Source organism: Homo sapiens, chromosome 19, assembly GCF_000001405.40.
Source record: "Homo sapiens chromosome 19, GRCh38.p14 Primary Assembly".
Taxonomy (NCBI): domain Eukaryota; kingdom Metazoa; phylum Chordata; class Mammalia; order Primates; family Hominidae; genus Homo; species Homo sapiens.
In genome coordinates, this window is record NC_000019.10 from 29,323,961 (window position 1) to 29,345,523 (window position 21,563).

At 43.6% G+C, this 21,563-nt stretch overlaps 1 long non-coding RNA gene across 1 annotated transcript in view, besides 1 other annotated feature; it reads right to left on the minus strand.

Annotated features, from left to right (window-relative positions):
• VSTM2B-DT (VSTM2B divergent transcript) overlaps window positions 1-21,563 on the minus strand; it is a 238,742-nt gene that overhangs the window by 36,952 nt on the left and 180,227 nt on the right. The gene's annotated exons all lie outside the window — the stretch shown is intronic.
• Window positions 5,619-5,819: a silencer, noted in NCBI's record as "peak3428 fragment used in MPRA reporter construct". NCBI's record gives its function as "represses an SCP1 promoter by STARR-seq MPRAs in K562 erythroleukemia cells {active_cell/tissue: K562}" and the evidence as "EXISTENCE:reporter gene assay evidence [ECO:0000049][PMID:32103011]".

The window sequence follows — 21,563 nt, forward strand, 5'->3', positions numbered from 1 at the left end:
GGCTGGAGTATGAGCTGAGTGATTAGAAACGGCTTCAAGGACCAGGAGACGTTTGAACCAGCAAAGGCTTTGCTGGACAAGCAGAGAGGGAAGTGAGGAGAGACACATTCCAAGGGGAGGCCCAGCGCAAGCGGCAGAGAGAAGGCACCCAGCCGGTAAAAGGATTGGTAAGTTGTTCCCTTTGTCCAGATCATGGGCTGCATGATCAACCCTGGAAAATGAGATGGGAAAATAGGGTGAGCTGGGACTCCCATGGGCTCAGATGTGCCACTGTGGAGTATGAGCTTCATTCTGTCAGTGGTGAGGATGGTGTGATTTGGAGAAGCAGTTGAGCGGGGAATAAGGGATTGGATGACAGATTCGGACGAAGACTGTCTGGGGAAGGTGGGCCGCCCCGGCTGCCACCTCTGGAGTGGGCATTTTCACCATGTGATCCAACAGTGCTGTGGTGACCTGTGTCCTCTCCATGCTAGGCTCCAGGCTGGGTGCTCACAGAGTGCCTGTATGGCTGGCAGGTATGGCGCAGCTCCTGGGCTCATGGACGAAGAGTCAGAATTGGTGGATACAAAGTTGCTACCCCCAGGCAGGCCAGAGATGCTGATCAAAAGTGCTCAGGTGGATGGGAGGTCATTTGAACTGACCCTGGAGGGGCATATCCCACTCTCCCCACAGCCAGGTGGGCTCCAGGTGGCTCCTGAGTGGCGTGCCATGAGCTTATTATAGGGTTGGAGTCACCCTCCTTGTCTGGGGGTGGCTGAGACCAGCATGGACAACCCCAAAACACAGCTTAAGAGTAAAATAACTAACAGAACTTTAGAATTAAATTACATTTACTCTCACATTTCATTTGCCCACATGACATCAAATGACCACGCTGTCTCTTTTCTCTCCATGTAAAGTGGCCCCCTGTGGGGATAGCCCAGATGTGTGGCTATGGTGAGGACAAGTTGTGGAAAGGCAGCCTAGGCTCTGAGTCCCAGGTCGGCCTCCTCACTGTGCCCGAATCCCCTGTCCCCCTCACCCGGACTGCCAGGCGGCACTGGTTTCCACAGCATCCATGCTCCCAGAAGAACTGGAGGTTGACTTTAGGAACTTCAAACTCAAGCTTCCCATATTCACACATCCCCGTTTCTGAGCTGCTTTCTCTTCAAAAACATATTTCTTACTTTGAGGTGTGAGGTCTTTGTAAAGTGTATTCTGAGAAATATGAATTCCACAGGTCATTAATAGGTGTTCCTTTAAAATAATGATTCACATTTGCTATAAACTGAATGCTTCCATCTCCTCAAAATTCATATGCTGAAATGTTAACCTCCCAGGTAATGGTATTAGGGGGTAGGTGTTTTGTGAGGTGATTAGGTTACGAGGGTGGAACCTTCATAAAAGGATCAGTGCCTTAGGAGAAGAGACATGAAAGAGATCACTTCCTGTCTCTGCCCTCTGCCATGCGAGGAAACAGGAAGATGGCTGTCTGCAAACCCGGAAGCGGCTCCTCACTGGACACCTTGAATCTTGGACTTCTTTACCTCCAGAAACATGAGAAATCACTGTTTGTTGTTTAAGCCAACTTGTCTATGGTATCTTGTTACAGCAGCTCGAACTAAGATAAAATTTAGACAGCTTTAAGAAATGATGTGTGGAGCAAAATCAAATGGGTTTCTTTACTACTGGACATGTCAGAGCCTTCCATGTGGGGCCTGGCACCAAGTGAAAACACAGGACCTGTGTTCAGAAAGTATAAAGAATTGCAAGACCACAGAACGTGACACTAGGCGCAGAGCCCTCCTGAGTTGGAGCCCGAGAGCCCACACACATCTCACCCCTGTGCAGCCAGCCCTGCAGGATAAGCCAAAGTTGCCGTGCACACCTGCATGTGCAGTGCATGCTCCAAGAATAGAAAAGAGGCACCAGACCGAGGTCACAACGTGTTCCTAACATATTCAACCACTGATTGACAGCTCTGCAGAACACACTTAGGGAAATCCTGCTTACAACTGAGTTCTCATTTTCCTCTAATTTCCAAGCTCCAATACTCAGACATACAGGGAAAATGAGTAGTTTCCAAGAACCCCACGGGACAGTTGTACATAGAAAGGGAAGACCCTTTTCATCTGCTAGATCTTTTTTGTCTCATAACTGGGTTAGTGTTTTTTATTTGGGGATTTTTCTGGAAAGTGAGGTCCACTGATAATTTCTGCTCATTCCTTATTTTCTTCCATTCTTTTAAATAAAGCCCAGCATCTCTGAACTACGAAAACAAATTCCAGGCAACAGTAGCAGGCAATTTACAGTGATAGATGAATATAACAAAAAATAGCACGCTTCAGCTGGGGATGGTGGGCAGTGTTTGTTCTTAGAATGCCAGCTCTGTTAAAGAGCTGTCGGGCCTCTCCACCTTACTCTGCCCATGCAAGAGGCCCCGTGACACCCCTAGGCCACTGGCTTCCCTGATTCTCTTTTCTCTGGTTATTTATGCCTGGGGAGGGAGTGGGGGTAGGAGATGAGGGACACAAGCCTTAGCACTGAGTCACTTAAAAGTGGGTGGAGTCAAGGCTGTTCCATTAACTCCCACTTTCCTCAGTGCCCTGCTTGGCTGGAGGGACCCCACCCACACTATCTCCAGCTGCTCTGACTCAGAACTGCCAGGTCCGTGCCACTGTCATTTCTGGCCTCCCACTCTGTGCTCCTCCAGGCCTCAGAGTTAGCTCGTGCTCCGCTCCTTTCTACCCCATCCTCCTTCCCCACTGTCTTTGTTAGGGTGCCCACCTCCTGAAAGAAGCCTACTGGTTTGTTTTGTTCTTTGAGACAGAGTCTTGCTCTGTCACCCATGTTGGAGTGCAGTGGCACAATCATAGCTCACTGTAGCCTTCAACTCCTGGGCTCACGCGATCCTCCTACCTCAGCCTCCCAAATAGCTGGGACTACACTACTACCACCTTCATGCCCACCTAAGTTTTTATTTTATGTAGAAACAGGGTCTCGCTATGTTGCCTAGGCCTGTCTGGAACACCTGGCCTCAAGTGATCCTCCTGCCTCAGCCTCCCAACGTGCTGGGATCACAAGCCTGAGCCAGCACACCTGGCCAGGAAGTCTACTGTTTAGCTGGGAGCAGGCCGCATGCTGGTCTGGGCAGGCCAGCTCTTTGCATCTGGAGCTCACAACTCTGTTTACCACAGACACGCACTGTGCACCTACTGAATGTACGTGCTGTACACTTATTGAGGGCCCCTGCATGCAAGGGCCCTGAGGACAATTTCTCACGAGGCTTGCAGCTCCTGCCCTTGAAAAGCCCAACTCTGGTAGGAGACAGGAGGCTAAAACTAACATGCGGAGCATCCCACACCCTACTCTGGCTTAGCCCCTCCCAGGAATGTCCGTCATCTGCTGTTTACAACTTCAACTCCTCAGGGGGCCCTTTTAAGGCCCCTCAGCATCTGGCCTGATCTCTACCTCGCCTGTCCCTGCCCCTCCTTACCCCTAAGCTTGCAAGTTCCACCCTTCATGTGGGCACTCAGCAGAGCATCCCGCCTCCCCAGCCTCTCCCTGGGTGTTCTTCCCTCTCCTCCTGCCTGGAGGACACCCTCTCCCCTTCCAAGGTGCACTTCAAGCATTCACTTCTCTAGGCAGCTTTTCACCGTCCCCACCTCCCCACCAGGTGAGGGTAACAGCTCCTCCCACCTCAGTGCCTCTGCTGGACCGACACAGGTCTCTAACACAGACCCAGCCAATGCCTCCCTGGCAGAAGTCTGTCTCTCCCGCCAGGCCACGAGCAACTGAAGGCAAGAGGGGTCTGTTCATGTTTCTTTCCCAAAGCCAGGGCCTGGTGGTGGCTACTCAATACATCAGTGATGCTCTGCATTAATAGCACAGATCCAGAGGAAGAAGAGAAGTGGGTTAAAGGGTGCAAACATACGGTAAGACAAAAGGAATAAGTTCAGTGTCTGATAGCAGGGTGGGGTGATGATACTTAACCAAAATGTATTGTACTCAGGCGATGAATATCCTGAATACCCCAATTCTATCACCACACACTATATACATGTAACCCATTTTCTCATGGGTTTTTCATAAATCTGCACTTTTTAAAAAAGGAAATAAGCAGTGTATTAATCTGTTCTCATGCTGCTAATAAAGACATTCCAGAGACTGGGTAATGTATAAAGAAAGAGTTTCAACAGACTTACAGTTCCACATGGCTGGGGAGGCCTCACAATCATGGCAGAAGGTGAATGAGGAGCAAAGGCACATCTTACATGGTGGCAGGCAAGAGAGCATGTGCAGGGGAACTCCCCTTTATAAAACCATCAGATCTCATGAGACTTATTCACTACCACAAGAACAGAATGGGGGAAACTGTCCCCATGATTCAGTTATCTCCACCTGGCCCCGCTCTTGACATATGGGGATTATTACAATTCAAGGTAAGATTTGGGTGGGGACACAGCCAAACCATACCAAGCAGGTATGTGCAAAAAAAAAAAATAGCGCAGATCCAAGCACCTCGGTCACAAGCCCTGGTCCCAAGGGGCAGGAGTGACTTTTCCAAGCTGGACCCCACCAAGGCAAGTGGCAGCTATGACCCTCTTTTTCCTCACTCTCATGCCCTCTACACTCTCAACTCTGCCTCTCCCTTCCTAGCTCAGCTTTCATGATGATAATCTCAGAGTCCACAGCACTGTGTTAGAAGACAGAGAAGAGAAAAAGAAGCTCACAGTCTTAAGGGTGACAGCCCTAAAATATTGAGTTAGAAATTGCCTGGGGACTCGACTTCACAGTCATGGCAAAGTAGATGCAAATACATATTCAAATTCAATGCAAATTCACTGGCAAATTTCCTCCCTCCTCCCCAGGACCCAGTGAGGCTGGCAGGGCTTGGATGGGCGATGCTTGCATGGCAGGGCCTCCCTCCTCCTCTTAGTGCCCTCCATGGTACCCAGAGCTGAGTTCCAGGCAGTAAGAGGCTGCAAAGAACCAGTCCCAGAGGAGGGCTTCTTCTCAGGGACATCCTTCTGGAGGCATTGCCATTGTGAGGCCTTTTGGGATGGGCCCATGAGGGACAAGCTTCCTGCAGGAAGGAGATAGGCCCTGTGTGCATTCTGTATGGGAAGAGAGGAGCCAGGAGAGCAACCGGAAGGAAGCCCTGTCACCATGCAGCCTGAGTGCTCACTGCAGGGAGGAGAAGCTGCAGGGCACATCTCAGGGGACAGAAGAGAGGCTGGTGGTGCAGAAACTCAGGAGTCTGAGAAAGCCAGACTGGTTGTAGGTGGTGGAGAGGAAGGAAGGGAGGCAGAGCAAGTTCAGGTTTACTTAGGGCTCCTCCTGAGCTCTCTGGGGACGTCCAAGAGGCCTGGAGCTCACTGAGGCTGGGAGAGGCTAACCTTAGCCTTGGGTCACGCACAGGCATAGATGACATTACTCCAGGTGGTCCTTCCTGTCCTGGAGGCCACATGTCCCAGAGCCACAGACTTCTTGTTTGGGAAGAGGTGGACATGAAATTTCTGCTTTGGCAGAGAGCCCAAGATGAGGAGATGCCATCATTCCGACAGCCTGGCAGGCACCTTGTCCTTTCCTGCTGACTTGGCATGGCAGGGTTGCTCCTCCAGCCACAGCAGAGCCTGGCCACCAGCAACAGGGCTCCCTAGGGAGGCACATGCTTGACTCACTTCTGTGACCTCTGCACCAGTGGATTGCATGGGGACAGGCTTGCTTCAGCACCTGGGAGAGCTCCCTGCGTAGGTTAGTGGCAGTGAGGGTGAGAGCATGCTAAATCCAAGATGGCCCTGGGGAAACAGAGCCAAGCTGGACCACAGAGGGAACTCCCTGATTAAGAGTGCAGCCTCCACCCAGCGTTCTTAACAGTGTAAGATACACGTAATCATGACTTACTGAGCACCGGCTACATGCTGGGCATTGTGCACACATCATCTCTAACCATTGCTACAGCCCTCAACTTGTTCCCATTTCAAAAGCAAAGAAACCAAAGCTCAGAGTGGTTAAGTGACCTGCCTAAGGTCACACAGCAAACATTCCACAGAACTACCCAAAGGTGGTTGTTGGGAAATATGGGGGTCCTCCTTGTCCTTCCTCTCACAATGGTTTATAGATCTGCCCTGAGTGTGGTTTTGGTGCCTTCTTTGGAAATCCATGGGAAAGAAAAGTTTCTCCATGGGGACAAAAAGTTTCCCACAGCTGGGCATGATGACCATGACTTTAGAAGATTACTGCAGGGACTCATTAAAGGACAATATTCTTGTCAGGATGCAATTAAAGTCCTTCCCCCTTCCATGTTTATGGAAAGAAGGAATGGGCAGAATGGCATCTGGTGAATTCGGAGCCTTGTCGGAATGCATCACTAAGCTCACGGTGGCACCTCGGCCCTCTGCTGGCCTCACACCCCCTCCAGGTGCCTGCCCATCATACAGTCCAGCCTGTCTTTGAGGCTAAGAGAAGATGATTGTCATCTCCAGCTGCCCCACAAATCCAGCTCTTCTGGAAACAGGTTTTCTGATGAAGAATGCCCCTCCCAATTCCCAGCCCACACGGCTCAAGAAGTCTGACTTCACTGTGGACTCCACAGCAGGCACCTGGCCAGGCATGACATCCCCTGCTGAAGGTCACTGGCTTGGCATGGACAGGCAGCCCAAGCAGGCAGTCAGAGCCACTGGGCTTCAGCTCTTAGACCACCGTTAGGAGCGGGAGCCAGTTTTCCCTGAGGCTCCTGGCTGAGGACCACTGAGGGATGCCTGAGGAGCAGACAGCATGAAGGAGGGCAGAACCGTCGTGGGATCCTGGTGACACTGTTCGCATCTGCATCTGGCCATCCCAAGCCACAAATCCTGGACTTTCCCATTGATGTAAACCAATAAAATCTCCTTGCCTGAGCTACAGGAGGTTCTGTTTCTTTCAAATGCAGACAAAATATTTTGACAAATTACCTCTCCAGGCAATTGCTTCTGGTGTTTTTTTTTTCCACTCTAAATTCAACTTTCTAGGCTACCTAAGTCCTGCTGCCCCATAGCAGATCTCCTAACGTCTCCATTATCTGACCTGTTACCAGGACATCTGGGTCTCCTTCTGTAGGACTTGTTCCCCAGCCTGAGACTTGATGCCTGTCTCCCCATGTTAAGCCCAGTGCCCGTCATAGCAGGTGCACAAAAGTGGTTTAAACTTGTGCCTCCTAAACCTGCACCCCCCACCTCAACATCTAAAGCAGCATATGAAGGTCAATAATTGTGTACTCATCTTTGGAGGAATGAGACCCCCTCCAGCCCCAGCTGGTCTCACCTTCACACCTCCACATGACCTCAGAAAAAGATGCTGGCATCTAAGCATGTTACACAGGGCACCTGGCTTGACCTCTCTTTGTCAACAGAATCAGGGTGCATCTCAGAAGACCTGTAGAGGAAGACTCCCTTCAAAAGCCCAGAGCATATGGGCTGAAGGTCACTTATCTTCCATCTGTGATGCCCCACATTTCCCCTGGGGCTTTGCCATCCATTGGCATTGTCATTCTCTCTAATTAGGTAAGTCGAGAGAGTTGGGGAAGGGGGAGAGGAGGAAAGAGAGGAGAGAGAACTGGAGAATGCGCATTCCTAAAGATCCATGCACAACACATTTGGAGTTGCCAATTCATGGCACATTTTGTAAATTTCCATTACAAAGGACAGAATTGTATCCCATTCCAATAGAATGCAAATGAATTCCTTTGTGTGTATATTCAATTTAAAGAAAAATATATAAATAACTGTACAGGTGGTGGAATGATTATGATGAATAGAGGAGCCTGGATCCTGAGATCCACAAACAACCATCATTATCTTCTTGAGTGACCTGAGGTGAGTAACTTAACCTCTGTGAACCTCGGTTTATTTGTCTGTAAAGCAAGAATGATGCACCTGCCCCACCCTTCTGAACTAACAGAATGACCGAGGCTCTGAGCAGCCAGGGGTGCTGTGAGATGATTTATGAGCCTTGACCTTGGGCTGCTACTGGAAAATCAAGGCTCCACCACTGCAGTGGGGCTCTTACTAACAAGGCTTGGTAGCCTATTTTGGAGTCTGTCCCAAAAGACTGAAATAAATTAACTTCATGAGGGATTTTTTCCCCCAAAATAGCTATAATCTATACCATCAGTCATGACAGAGCACAAAAATTCAACTGCCTACAGGGCTCAGTGGTCCCATAAGTTATGGAAAAAGGCAAGGTATAAAGCAATAGGGAAGGGTGAAGACTGTGGCAAACTGTTGAATCCATGCCCTTGCCCCATCTTAGGGGCCACCAAGCTCTACTAGCAGGCTGTCGCATGGGGCTAAGACTCAAGATTGACAGAAATTCCCATTTTTTTAGTAGAAACCAGAAGGGTTGATTTTTACATGAAATCTCCTCTGGTTAATTTTTTTTTAATTTGACGACTCAATGTTAAAACTTTTGTAACACTTTGTGAGAGCCAAAACAATGTATCTAGGAGCTAGATTTCACCCACAGCCCACCAAACTCTGTTTAGCAATATTGCAATCTTCCTGTTTTGATTCCATTTTTCAAGTGTGTAGGTTATGTTGACTTTATGTCAAAAATAAAAGCAAGTAACCCAGCAAATGCCCTCAATTTGAACAGGGGTTTCTTCTGTCACCCTGCACCTGCACACAATGAATCCACATGGGGAAGGCAGTGGCGTTCACTCTCTTCTAGCCCAGTCATCATGGCAGGCTGTGCTGTTCCTGCACCTCACTCTCTCCACCCAACTCTGCTGGACCACTTGGGCCTCCCAGCAGAGATCCCTGAAGATGAGAAGGAGCCCTGGAATATAGTTTATATGTTGTCCCAAGGTAAAACTGGATGTTTCTGTCCATTTTTGTTTCCTGAATTTTACAAGCTCTGCAAATTAAGTGCATACACACACCGTTGCTGACTGCCTTGTTCCGTGACAAGGAAGTCAGACTGCTGGACCCCAATGTGCCCATGGGAAGAAAATGTCTTAATTGCAGCCCAAACACACACGCATACATTCACTCAACCAAGGCATTCTGCCAGCATGCTGTCACCACCTTTGACGTCCCTTCTTGTGGGTTTGTCCCTTTAATTTCTTTTTTTTTTTTTTTTTTTTTTTTTTTTGAGATGGAGTCTCCCTCTGTCGCCCAGGCTGTAGTGCAGTGGCATGAACTCGGCTCACTGCAAGCTCCGCCTCCCGGGTTCATGCCATTCTCCTTTCTTAGCCTCCCGTGTAGCTGGGACTACAGGCGCCCGCCACCAAGCCTGGCAAATTTTTGGTATTTTTAGTAGAGACGGGGTTTCACCATGTTAGCCAGGATGGTCTCAATCTCCTGACCTCGTGATCCGCCTGCCTCTGCCTCCCAAAGTGCTGGGATTACAGGCATGAGCCACTGTGCCCGGCTGTCCCTTTCATTTCAAAGGGGTGGGTCCCTTCTCTCTTTTTCCTGGACTCTTTATTGTACTCTGGCCACAAACACTATTTGCTCAGCATCTCTGGAGGGCAGGAAAGCCTCTTTAGAAGTTAATTGGGTGAACATTCAGATTGAGGGGCATGCTAATAATCAGAGCATAGTAAGGGGATTATGTGTTAGATTTCTAGATAACAGTGTTTTACCCCCCTTTTTATGTGTCAGCAACAATAAATCGTCTTTGGAAACAAAATAAAAACCAAACCCTTGACAAACATGCAAACACCTGGATGCAGAACTACTAAAGCTGATGACTCTTCGTGAAGTCCATAGCACTAGGTAGCCAGTTTCCTGAGGGCAGCATCGCACACCTGCCTTGACAGGGCCAGTGTGCTCACTGCCCAGCACAGTCCAGACCCTGCCCACCAAGGACAGGGACTCAGCGCCAGAGAAACAAATGATTCGATGGAGTTGTAGGAGGATTTCCAAGACCACCATGCCCAGCTTACCTGTATCCCTACAGATTAATGACCATTTTAGGGAAGTGTTTGAATGAAGGAAGAAGGAATATAATTAAATAAACGTCTGTGAAATTAGATTTTTATTTAATAAAATAAGGCATCAGAGATATATGAGATGTCTCATATATCTATAAAATATATATGTAAGCTTTATATAACATATTATGTATTTACACAAAAAGTAAAATAAAACATACACACACACACACACACACACACACACATATATATAGGCAAGATTTTTTTCATCTGTCAGATAGGCCACAATTAAGGGGTCTGCCGAGACCCTGTGTTGGAGAGGGTGGGGGACCCAGGCGTGGTCTCTGCAGAGGACAGCAGTCACCAGGATTGCTCACTCATCCTTGGGACACGTGGCAGGATGGCACAGATCCATTCCATGTGATTCCTTTCACCAATCAAATACAAAGGTGTCACTTCCAAGCAAAAAGTGGGAGACACAGTCCATGATTCAGTACATTCCCTTTTAGGGTCCCTGTGCTGTGAATCTCATAATTGCTCCAGATTGTGGCTGTGCTGTCCTCCTGGGTCTCAGAGGGGGGACGATGCAGAATTGAGTCCCTCCCCAGGATCCAAGACAGATACGAATGTTAGAAAGAAATAACCCTTTGTTATTTTGAACCAGGACGATGTGGTGCTGCTTATGACCCACTGCGTCAACAAGCTTATTCTGACTGGCAGGAAGAGCTATTTGGCAACATCTACAGGAATTTAGAATGTTAATACCTAAGACTATGTAATTGCATTTTTATGATTTTTACACAATTTCTTTTTTTTTAATTTTACTTTAAGTTCTGGGATACATGTGCAGAACGTGCAGGTTTGTTATATGGGTATACATGTGCCATTGTGGTTTGCTGCACCTATCAACCCATCATCTAGGTTTTAAGCCCCGCATGCATTAGGTATTTGTCCTAATGCTCTCCCTCCCCTTGCCCCCGAACTCCCAACAGACCCCGGTGTGTGATGTTCCTCTCCCTGTGTCCATGTGTTATTGTTCAACCCCGACTTATGAGTGAGAACACGTGGTGTCTGGTTTTCTGCTCCTGTGTTAGCTTACTGAGAATGATGACTTCCAGATTCATCCATGTCCCTACAGAGGACATGAATTCATTCTTTTTTATTGCTGCATAGTATTCCATGATGCGTATGTGCCATTTACACCATGGTGTATGTGTGCCATTTACACATTTTCTTTATCCAGTCCATCACTGGTGGGCATTTGGGTTGGTTCCAAGTTGCAATTTATTTTACACAACTTTACTTTTACACACGTGCAAAGTAGTACATGAGTGAGCACGTTCATGTTGTGTAGCAAACACTGGAAAGAACCAAGAATATATCAACCAGATTCTCTGTCTGTTTTATGCTTTAATGATTAATAAATCATAAACCATCCAGACTGAGGAAGAGTAGACAGCCCATAAAGAGAATAGAGCACATTCCTGTAAACTGAGAGGAAATGTTTCTCAAAACATTGCAAAGTAGAAAAGCAAGATGCAAAATAAGAATGTACCATAATTTATGTGTGTCATCTTCAATTTCTTTTATTAATGCTTTATAGTTTCCAGCATACAGATTTTTCAACTCCTCAAATTCACTCCTAAGTGTTTTTTATGCTATTGTAACTGGATTTTTAAAATTTCTTTTTTTGAATAGTTCATTGTTAGTGTGCAGAAACACTACTTTTTAAATATTAATTTTGTGGTGAGAGTGATCTTCTTTGTCTTGTCTCTGGTCTTAGAGAAAAAGCTTTCAGCTTTTCACCATTGAATATGATGTTAGCTGTGGGCTTGTCACATATGGCCTTTATTGTGTTGACATACAATCCTTCTAAACCTATTAGAGAGTTTTTATCATGAAAGAACCTTGAATTTTGTCAAATGCTTTCTCTGCATCCGTTAAGATGGTCATGTGTTTTGTGCCCTTCATTCTGTTAATATAGTGTATTACACTTATTGATTTGTATGTGTTGAGACTTCCTTGCACCCAGGGGTAAATCCCACTTGATCTTTTGCAACATAGGTGAACCTGGAAGACACTATGCCAAGTGAAATAAGTCAGGCACAGAAAGACAAATACTGCATGACCTGACTTATATGTGGAATCTAAAAAACTTGAACTCATAGAAGTACAGAGTAAAAATGGTGGCTACCAGAGACTGGGGTGGGAGAAATAGAAAAAGGGAAGATGTTGGTCATAGGATACAAGGTCTCAGAGAGACAGGAGGAAAGAGTTTTAGTGATCTATAGCACAGCAAGTGATGATAGTTAATAATAATGTACTGCATATTTCAAAATTGCTAAAAGAGTAGAATTTAAATGTTCACACCACAGAAAATAAGTATGCGAGGTGATGAATGTGTTAAGTGACTTGATTTAATCATTCAATAATGCATACATATATCAAAACATCAGGTTGTACTCCATAAATATATTCAATTATTATTTGCCAATTAAAAATAAAATAATTTTTAAGAGGGAAATATTTGGAAAAAAGAAATTGCCCTGAAGTACTTCTTGCTCATTGACTGTTTTCAAGTCACAACGGAAGTTAAGCCACTTCATGCACTCATGAATCTGTTTGTCCATTCGTCCATCCATCCATTTGTCTGTCCATCTGTCTGTCCGTTCATCCATCTATTTTTCTGTCCATCTGTCTCTCCGTTCATCCATCCACTTGTCTGTCCATCTGTCCATCCATCCATTCATCCAACCATCCATCCGTCTCTCCATCTGTCTGTCCATTTGTCTGTCCATCTGTCTGTCCATTCATTTGTCCACCCATCTGTCCATTCATCCATCCATCCATCCATCCTCCTTTCTTCCCTTCCTCCATTCAACCATGTCTCCATCTCTCTATTCATCCATTAAACATAATGAGATAAGTGTTGGATAGGTTACCAAAAAAGTGAACCCCATTCTGTGTTGGTTGTCTTCGAAGGTTGGCTGAGGGATGTCACCCAGAAACCAAGAGATACTTGGAGTAGGAGGTAAAAGTGTATGTGTTTGAGAGTCAGCCAGAGCTGTGATACAGCTGTGCTGCTTTCACAAAGAAGCTTGAGACCTTGGACAAGTTTCTTAACCTCTCTGAGCCTCCAATTCCTCATCTGTAAAATGTGCTTAACTAATCAGTGTAGTACAAAGACTCACATAGCCCACAACTGAAGTGAGGTTGCTTTTTGACGAAGTAAAGCCTTTGCTCCCGTCTTTCCCAGGCATTTCAAGGCCTGGCTTCCACCCAAGGGGCAGTCCCTACAGGAGACTGGAGGAAGAAGGGAAAGGCCTCGGCTCTCTCCCTATTGGCCACCATGGCCTGGCTGCTGCCCAGACGGTCTCAGCTCCTGCTGGTTGCACTCTCCACACCATCGTCCCTGCCTCTACTCCAGATATGGTGCCAGGAATCATGGAGTGTTTGCTCTTCCTGGAAGCAGACTCCTGTCCTATTCCTTGTGAGTCCTCTACACCAGGCTAACAGTCTCTAGCAGAATCTCTCGAGGCTACCCTGATTTGAGTGTTCCAGGTATGTTCAGCTGAACCCTGATTGAGAGAACTCATATGTCAGTCCCAGTGCTGTGACTTGGAGTTACAGAGTTGAGAAACAAACAGACTGCCACTTCACCCTGTTCAAGGTTCTCTAGCTCACAGGAGAAACATAAATACAAAAGAAAACTGCACCCAAAACTCCCAGGTGCCACGACAGAAATATGGATTCAGATCTGTGGCACCATAGAATGAACAGGTACCTTGCAGGCATGAATGTGGGTGAGAGTCATCAGGGAAGGCTTCCGAGAGAAGGTGACACTCTATGTGAGTCTTGGAGGGTGAATACAAACTCCCTTGTAGGACAAGGTGAGAACATTCATCTCCCGGAAAATACACCATTCAAACACATGAAAGTACATGAGTTTGCTACAGGAATGGTAGTTTGCTCAGATGCTTGGGACCCATATTGGAGATAAGAGCAGCAGGGGAGAGGACTGAAGTGATTTAATGACTGGTATCAAATTGCTCACTTTTAAATTTTGTCAATCAAAGGCATGTCTTTTAAGTGGCCATCTGTTATCACTCACCACCAGGATATAATCATATAATCTTGGAATAAAGAAAAGTCCTTTGTAGCAAATAAATTTAGGAGGGTGTGTGTGTCCGTGTGCATACGCTACCTGCGTGTGTGTGTGTATATACACACATATATATACACACACGCATGTATGTGTATATATATGCATATATGTGTATACACACACACACACACACACACACACACACACACACACTACCTGTCCTTGTTTTTCTTTTCTCATTTTGCAGCAGTCTAGGAACAAGTCCATTGGCTGACATTTGAAAACCACTGATCTCACCTGATCCTCTTATTCTACCCACAGGGAAGCATGTCATTTTTTAAAAATTCATTTTTTAAAATGAGTTCAATTCTCTTAAGTGTTTATTGCTAGCCCTTTGACTGCTCCTCACAAACAGACCCCTGACCAGCCTTAGGCACTTCCAGGTACTTGGGTTCAGACAACACTTGGTCCTAACACCACAGGGAAAAGCATTAAAGTTCTCGGATTACTTTTTCTGCAGGTCATTTGATAATACTTTCCACTCCTAGTGAATGCTACAACAAGCAATATATATTGGTAATTGCAGCCATCTAAGAATAGACATATTTGCAGGAATAATGACCTCCTCCTCCCCCTAAAAAAAAGTTAGATTTAAGTAATACTGCCAGTTGGTGGCCATTTGTGCACTCATGTCTGGTTGCATTTGCCTCCAGGGACAGATAAATAGTAAAGGAGAAAACTGAAGTGGGGAGGGTCTGAGTAAATCAGTCTCTCTGCCTCTGGCTCTCTCTCTCTCTCTCTTTCACACACATACACACACACACACACACACACATCTGTTATTTTAAATGTGTTATGAGTACTTTCTTGGTCTGGGAACCCACGGACTGGTTCCTAGGATGCTGCAAAATGAGAAAAACATGGACAGGTAGTGCATAGATAGGTAGATTAAAAAGGTGGGGGGCTGTTCAGGGACCAAGGTTAAGTGTGAACAAAGCAACTTCCGTGGAGTTCTATTATCCATGGCAGGGAGGTGCTAGTGTCATCACAGAAGGTGAAAATTCCTGTCTGAATGACCTTTGGAAGCTTCCAGCAGATGTTGGAAAAGATTTTGCTTCTTCACTAAATTGCCAGAATGTTAGTTTGTATTTAGAAGTCACTTTGTACAGAAAATACAAAGATTCAAATATAAGAGTCACCCTCACCTAAGCCAAGGGCTCACACTCTGAGAGGGCTGTGCTGATTGAGACTGAAAGAGGGAAAGGGAGGGTTGCCCTTCATCCTGCACTAGTTTTGGGGTGCCTGGGCTGAGTGGAGTCATGGGTGAAATTGCTCTTTCTTTAAGCTGCTTTCATTCCACCTCTCTCCCCCTGTTTCTTCTCCCATGCCCCCATGCCAAAGAAGAGGGAGTTACCTTCTATCCTGACAGCATCTCCTTCAGAGAGGGTTGCCTTGATGAGAAAGGCAAAGTAATCTGATAGAGCCAGAAATACCCAAGGACAAGACCTCAACCAAGAGAAGGAAGAGGAGGAAGAAGGGGAAGTGGAGGAGGAGGAGGAGGAGGAGGAAGGAGAAGGGGAAGAAGGGGGAAAGAAGGAGAAATAGGAGGAGGAGTAGGAAGAAGGGGGAGTGAAGGAGGAAGAGCTACTGCCTAGTCAGTAGAAGCCTGGCTGTTGGGGCCGCAGGGCAATAGTGACTGCCTCCTCACCCACCCAGCCCAATTATAGCTGCAGTGCCTGACAGGGAAAGTCTAACCCATGCTGTCCTTGAGAACTGAACCCTGAAACATGGCTGCATGTTTGAAACTTATCACAAGTCTTGGGATGCTTGCAGCTTCGAGCCACATTATTTTTAATAAATTCATTTTTGAAGATTTCCCTGCCATGGCAAGGAGGGCACATCTTTGAAAGCCAGAGGATCTAAATTCAAGCCTAAATTGTATTCTGGTCTGCCATAAGGCCTTGTCCAAGCCTGTGCCTTGCCCAGGCCACGGTTTCATGCTGCTGTATTGCCTTAATCAGGGAGCTTTCTCTTGCCCTATGCAGCTCCAACCACTGTGAATTCTTCTGGAAGGTTCTTGTTGGTTAGTGTTAGTGTAATGCCAGGCCCTGACCGTCACCCAGGGTATGGCCAGAACATTGAGAATGTTTGCAATGTGCATGTATAGAGGCAGAAGGACAAACATTACAACCTTTTGGGGAAAACTTTGAGATGCCAGAGATCAACAAAGGGCCAGAGACTGGATCATGATATAGTTCTTCAGAATTAAGGCTCAGCTGGGCATGGTGGCTCATGCCTATAATCCCAGTACTCTGGGAGGCCAAGGAGGGCAGATCACACGAAGCCAGGAGTTCAAGATCAGCCTGGGCAACATAGTAAGATTCCATCTCTACTAAAAACAGAAAAATTAGCTGGGTGTGGTGGTGTGTGCCCATAGTCCCAGCTATTTGGGAGGCTGGGGCATGAGAATCACTTGAACCTGGGAGATGGAGTTTGCAGTGAGCTGAGATCATGCCACTGGACTCCAGTCTGGATGACAGAGCAAGACAAAGAAAAAGAAGAAGAAGAAGAAGAGGAAGAAGAGAAGAAGAAGGAGGAGGAGGAGGAGGAGAAAAATAAAGCTTAGGCTGGGGAAGTGCCTTAGCTGTCTACACTAGAAATTAGACTATCCGGAAAACTGAACATTTATTCTTCCCTTCTGTAGATGCTACATGGATGAAGCCCATGACTTGAAGAATGAGCCTAGGACTATAGTCTTGCACCCTCCAGGAAGCCTTCATTCCTGCTTTCAGTCTGCCCCAGGATTCCTGCATAGGTTTCTAAGCCATTTATATCCAAGTTTGCATTGGCCAAATCTCATGACTGAGTCTCACCTCTCAGTGTGTCAGAGTCACCAGCCTCTTTACTTGAGCTTCTGACATCCCAGACAGGCCCTTTTCTTGCAGTCTTGGCACATGTCCAAACCACTCCCCCAGAGGTGTCTGCTTGGTTTATACTTCACCACCTTCAGGCCTTTCTTAAATTTTTCTTCTCCATAAAAGATTTGAAATCATTCTGACACTCTCTATCCCTATCTATTTTCCTCACAGTTTCCCTTCATTTTCTCCTTAAAATCTAACACTAGAGTGATGTCAGCAACAATGGTAGAGTAAGAACCTCTGAAAATTCTCTCCTTCATAAAAGGAATAAGAAAGCTTACAAAAATTGTCAGTGTCCATTTTTTTCAGAACTCTTAGAATTAACCAAGGGCTTGCAACAACCTAGGGAGCATTTATTCAATAAAAATGGCTGTATGTCAGTAAAAACAGTGAGCTTTATGGCATGTTAACTTGCCTTATTCCCATGCCCTGCTTTCCAACCCAGTGATAACCTTGAAAAATCACAGCCCACACTCCCAGTGCAGTCTGGCAGTCACAGGAAGAAGAAAAAGAGATCTGGAGCTCTTTCAAGGTCTGGTTCCGAAAATTTACCAATATCTGACCTGTCTGAAAGTTGACCTGAAGACCACATTTGCAAAGCTGTTTGTACTTAACCTGACTTGAAGCTTGATCAGACTAAAAAGTTTCCTCTTCAGGGGATGTTTGTTGAAAACAATTTAGAGGCAAATGTCTTAACTTTACAGCTAGCTGAAGTGCTTGCTTCAAAGGTGGATAAGAACTGGTAAACAATAGACTAAACAAAAGTTTTATAAGGACAAACTGAGGAATAAGGTGTTCATAGGGGCTTTGAAAACCTCTGACATATTCCTGGCAAACTAGAAGACCACACAAATGCCCAGGGCTGTGCACATGCTTAGGAAGGAGTTGAAAAGACCCTAATAACTTACCTTTAGTGATTAAGAGGTGCTGAACAAGCAGGAAGTGAAGGAAGGAAGGCAGAGTTGCTAAATGCCTAACTATATGTTTAAGACATACATCAACACACAGAGCTCCTTGCAACAGACTGGAAGGCTTACTAGTTCCAGATATTTAAGTTAATCTCTGTCCAGTAATTAGCTAACCACTACTTCAGTGGTCACACACAACAGAGAACGCAGACTTTACAGAATTTGTTCAGAAAGTCACTAAACAAATAACAAATTCAACAAGCAGCAACCACAACAAATCCTGAAGAAGGGGGAAATCTGATTGACAGAGTTGTCATGTTATTTTATCCAGTTTTCAACAACAACAACAAAATTACAAGACATGTGAAGAAATAAGAATTTCGGTCCATATACAGGAAAAAAAAAACAATCAACAGAAACTGTCCCAGGACATCAGACTTAAGATAAACACTTAAGACAAAGACAAAGTCACCTATTTTAAGTATTTAAATTTTTTAAAAAGCCAAGAAAATCATGTCTAAACAATTAAAAGAAAGTCTGAGAATAATGTCTCACCAAATAGAGAATATCAATTTATAGAAAGTATTTAAAAATGAACCGAATGTAAAATTTAAAAGAACTATAACTGGAGCTTAAAAGTATAACTAAATAAAAAATAACACAGCAGATTTGAGCAGGCTGAAAGAATAGTCAGCAAACTTGAAGATAGATCAATTGAGATCACCTAGTCTGAGGAATAGAAAGCAAAAACAATTAGGAATGAACACATCCTTAGAGGCCTGTGTGGCATCCTCAAGAGTATCAACATATGCATAATGAGAATCCCAGAAGGAGAGAAGAAAGAAAAAGGGAAAAAATAAATATTTAAAGAAATAAGAACAAAAACTTCCTAAATTTGATGGAACTTTTAATGTACACATCCAAGAAACTGAACAAACTCCAAACAGAATAAATTCAAATGGACTCACACCTAAGCACAGCCTCATGAACTTGTCAAAAGACAAAGAAAAAAATATTGAAAGTGAGAGAAAAGTTACTTTGAACAAAGAACAAAGAATTCTCAATAAAATTTACAGCTAATTTCTCATCAGAAACCAAGGAGGCCAGAAGGCAGCCAGATGGCACATTAAAAGTGCTGGAAGGAAAAAAAAACTGTCAAGCAAGCATTCTATATCCAGTAACATCATCCCTCAAAAATGACGGAGAAATTTAGACATACCCAGAATAATTGTATGTTGATAAATTAGAAAACCTGGATGAAATGAACAAATGTTTAGCAATACACAAACTACCAAAACTGACTTGAAAAGAAATAAAAAATCTGAGAGACCTCTAACAAGTCAACAGATTTAATTAATAGGCAAAACCCTTCCGACAGAGAAAATTCTAGGACCAGATGGCTTTACTGGTGAATTCTGCCAAATATTTAAAGAAGAACTAACACCAATCACTTATAAACTATCCAAAAATAGAAGAGTAGGAAACACTTTCTAACTTTTTCTGAGTCTAGTATCACTCTGATACCAACACAGACAAAGACATCATAAGAAAAGTATAGACCAATATCCTTTATGAGAAGATATGCAAAATCCTCAACAAAATACCAGCAAATAAAAATCTAAAAGCATATAAAAATAGTCATACAGAAGGACTCTGATAAGATAGAAGAGTAGGAATCACCAGAAATATCTCTCCACCTAGACAACAATTGCACTGGCAGAAACCATCTGATATAATGATTTTGGACCTCTGGAGTCTATTGCAGGCTTTCAATTTCCAGGGGAAGCTAAATGAACTCCAAATAATATTAACTCAAAGAAATTCATACATATACCTATTATAATCAAACTGTTGAAAGCTAACCACATCAGAAACTTTGGAGACCAGAAGACAATGAGCTGATATATTCAAAGCAATAAAAGGGAAGACTCTCAACCAAGAATCCTATAACCAGCAAAATGGTCCTTCAAAAGTGAAAGAGAAATTAAGACATTCCCAGATGACCAAAGCTGATGGAATTTGTTACCACTTGGCCTGCCCTTCAAGAGATGCTTGAAAGGAATCCTACAGGTTGAAATAAAAGGACAGTAGGCAGTAAGTTAAAGCTATATTAAAAAAAATAAAGGTCTCAGTAAAAGTAAATGTATGGGCATTTTAAAAACTAGCATCATTGTAATATACAGTACATTACTGCTAAAATAGATTTTTAACATTTCCACCACAAAAAATGACAAATTGATGAAGTGATGAGTATGTTAATTAGCTCGATTGAGTCTATAATGTACACATGGATAAAAACATCGCATTCTATTTCATAAATATACACTATTATTTGTCCTTTTAAAATGAATAAATAAATAAACTAGTATTGTACAATGGTGTATAACTTCGATTTTTGTTTTCTATGTGATTTAAGAGAATAATGCATTTTTAAAAGAACAATTGTTAGCTCAAAAGCCAATATTATTGTAACTTCGGTTTGTAATTTCACATTTTTTTCTACATAATTTAAGGGTCTAGTGCATAGAAAAATAAGCTTATGTTTTAGGATGCACAATGTGCAAAGATGTATTTTTGTGACATTAATGACTGAAAGGGGTGGAGATGGAGCTGTTAATAGAGCAGTTTTTATATGTCATTGAAGTTAAGCTAGTTTAAATTCATATTAGAGTGTTATCACTTAGAATGTTAAATATAATCACCATGGTAACCATAAAAAGTAGTCAAAGAACATATACAAAAGGAAATGTGAAAGAAATTTAAACACTTTACTACAAAAGCTCACTAAACCCAAAGGAGAACAGTAATGTAGGAAGTGAGAGACAAAAACTATAAGGTACATAGAAAACAAATAGCAAAATGACAAAAGTAAGGCCCTCCTTACAAGCAATTACTTAAATGAAAATGCATTAAGCTCTCCAATCAAAAGATATGAATGCACAAAGGACAAAAATAAAAATGATCCAAGCATATGCTGTCTACAAGAGTCTAACTTTAGATACAAAGGCACAAATTGATTGAAAATGAGACATCAGAAGAAAAGGATGGAAAAGGATATTTCATGCAAACAGTAACCAAAAGAGAGCAGGAATGGCTATACTAATAAAAAGCAGAATAAACTTTTAAGCAAAAAGTTTACAAGAGACTAGGAAAATATTATATACTAATAAAAGATTAAATATACCAAGAAGATATAATAATTATAAATATTTGCACACCTAATAACAGACCATAAAAATATGTAAAGTAAAATTTGACAGAATTGAATGGGGAATAAAATGTTCTACAGTAATATTTGGAGACTTTTATACCTCATTCTTAATAATGGATAGAACAAACTGATAGAAGATAAATAATAGAAGACTTAACACAATAAGCCAACTAGATCTATATAGAGTACTTTACCCAACAGCAGCAGAACACATAATCTTTACAAGAGCATATGGAACAATTTCAAGGATAGACCATATGTTAGGGCATGAATTAAGTCTCAATATATTTTTAAAGACAGAAATCATATAACTATCTTCTCAAACCACAACAGAATAAATGTAGAAATCAGTAACAGAAAAAAAACTGAAAAATTCACAAATTTGTGGAAATTTAAAAACTACTCTTAAACAACTAATGGATCAAAGAAGAAATCAAAAGAGAAATTAGAAAATACTTAGAGATGAATGATAATGAAAAAAGAACATACTAAAACTTATGGGGCATAATAAAACAGTATTAAA